This window comes from Homo sapiens, chromosome 6 (assembly GCF_000001405.40).
Source record: "Homo sapiens chromosome 6, GRCh38.p14 Primary Assembly".
NCBI classification, from domain to species: domain Eukaryota; kingdom Metazoa; phylum Chordata; class Mammalia; order Primates; family Hominidae; genus Homo; species Homo sapiens.
The window spans coordinates 133,951,855-133,953,223 of record NC_000006.12 but is presented as its reverse complement, the minus strand read 5'-3'; the positions used below and the strand labels follow the sequence as shown (position 1 = coordinate 133,953,223).

The following is a 1,369-nucleotide window of genomic DNA, read 5'->3' as shown; positions in this document are numbered from 1 at the left end:
GCGGCCGCAGCTTCCCCGCGACAATAAATAGACTAGACGCTGGGGAGCATAGAGACAGTGCGCGAGGGCTAGAGCGCCGCCGGACAGGGCGCTCCTGGGTGCCTCGCTAGCCACTCATTTCCGGCTCTCACTGCTCCCGTCACTTTCCCCGTCCCCCGCCCCCACCCTTCCTTCCTCCTTCCTGGTCCCCAAATCAGGCCCCTCCTGCCCACCCGCTGGGCTCGGTGGGAGGTAAGAGGTGGGATGGGGGCGGCGCTAATGGGCATCGGACTAGACTTTTTTGTTTAAGAACCGCTTGAAAGGGTTCTGAAAACACCGTGTATCCTTTGTATATTTTTAGTTGATATCTAAACGTGTAGTAATTTCTGGCATACAGTCGAATATTTAGGTGGACTTTTTTGTCAAAACCGTAGAACTTTCTCATCAGCTCATTAAATTTATACAAAAGGTCCTCCCCACCCCCCATTATATAATTGCTAAAGCTAGTCCTTACCGTCCAGACGAGACTTGTTTTCTGCCTGAAAAAAGTCCTTCGCTTTTTCAGTCAAAATGAACCCGTTAATTTATGATGTCGCGATAAATTCCCCTAGTGAGATTCCTCACTAGGCGAATTGGAATCCTGGTCTTAGAGCGACCGGGGATGACAGATGACAGACGGAGGGAAGGAAGTGGGGAGAGATGGAGACACAAGGTGTGGCGAGACGGAGGGATAACGCAGGACCGTATGCCACTTCTGTCGCCTGTCCCACATTCCTTACTCTACGTGGGTTTGCGGTCGGGACTGTCCCTCGGGAACCGAGAGGCGGATCCAGGAAGGATGGGAGTGGGAGAGGGCGGATGCTGGCGAGGACTCAGGCAGCCCGGGATAGGAGGACCTCTAGGAACGGAGACCCTCCGCGGCTCTGCGCCCAAGTAGCCCTGCAGGGGCCGGGGGACCCCGGGGGCGCACAATGGCCCGTTTGAACCGTCGCCCTGGGGCCCGAGTGCGTCCTCGGGGTCCCTCGGGAGTGGCCTGAGAGGCGCTGCCCGCGGGAGCGAAAATCGCGTAACGGCCCTGAGGGCGCCACGCCACGCCACGCCACGCCACGCCGCGCGGAAGCCCCCGGCTCCCGGCCCCACGTTTCCCACTCTCAGGCCGGCATCGGCCTTTCCACCAGAGCTCGGCTGCAGTCAGAAGCCCCTGGCGTTAGTTGAGGTCAATGGCAGCCCTGATTTAATTATTAAAAGACCACGCCGAGCCGGGTTCATGGGTACCTGGCCTCTGATTGGTGGGAATCAGATGAAAAAAATGAAAATGCCACTGCCTTTTTAAAAGAGAAGACGTGGGCTGAATTCTTGGGGTTTTGACAGTAGGCAACCATTTAGGTAT

The 1,369-nt window shown here is 56.8% G+C and overlaps 1 protein-coding gene across 1 annotated transcript in view, besides 1 other annotated feature; it reads right to left on the bottom strand.

The window, feature by feature from the left end:
• TBPL1 (TATA-box binding protein like 1) overlaps positions 1 to 1,050 on the bottom strand; it is a 38,259-nt gene extending 37,209 nt beyond the window's left edge. Inside the window, exon 1 of the mRNA NM_001253676.2 lies at positions 494 to 1,050. The gene's annotated coding sequence lies outside the window, so the exon portion shown is untranslated. The remainder of the gene's footprint in view (positions 1 to 493) is intronic.
• Positions 893 to 1,002: a silencer, noted in NCBI's record as "silent region_17555". NCBI's record gives its function as "represses an Ori minimal core promoter by ATAC-STARR-seq in GM12878 lymphoblastoid cells {active_cell/tissue: GM12878}" and the evidence as "EXISTENCE:reporter gene assay evidence [ECO:0000049][PMID:35858748]".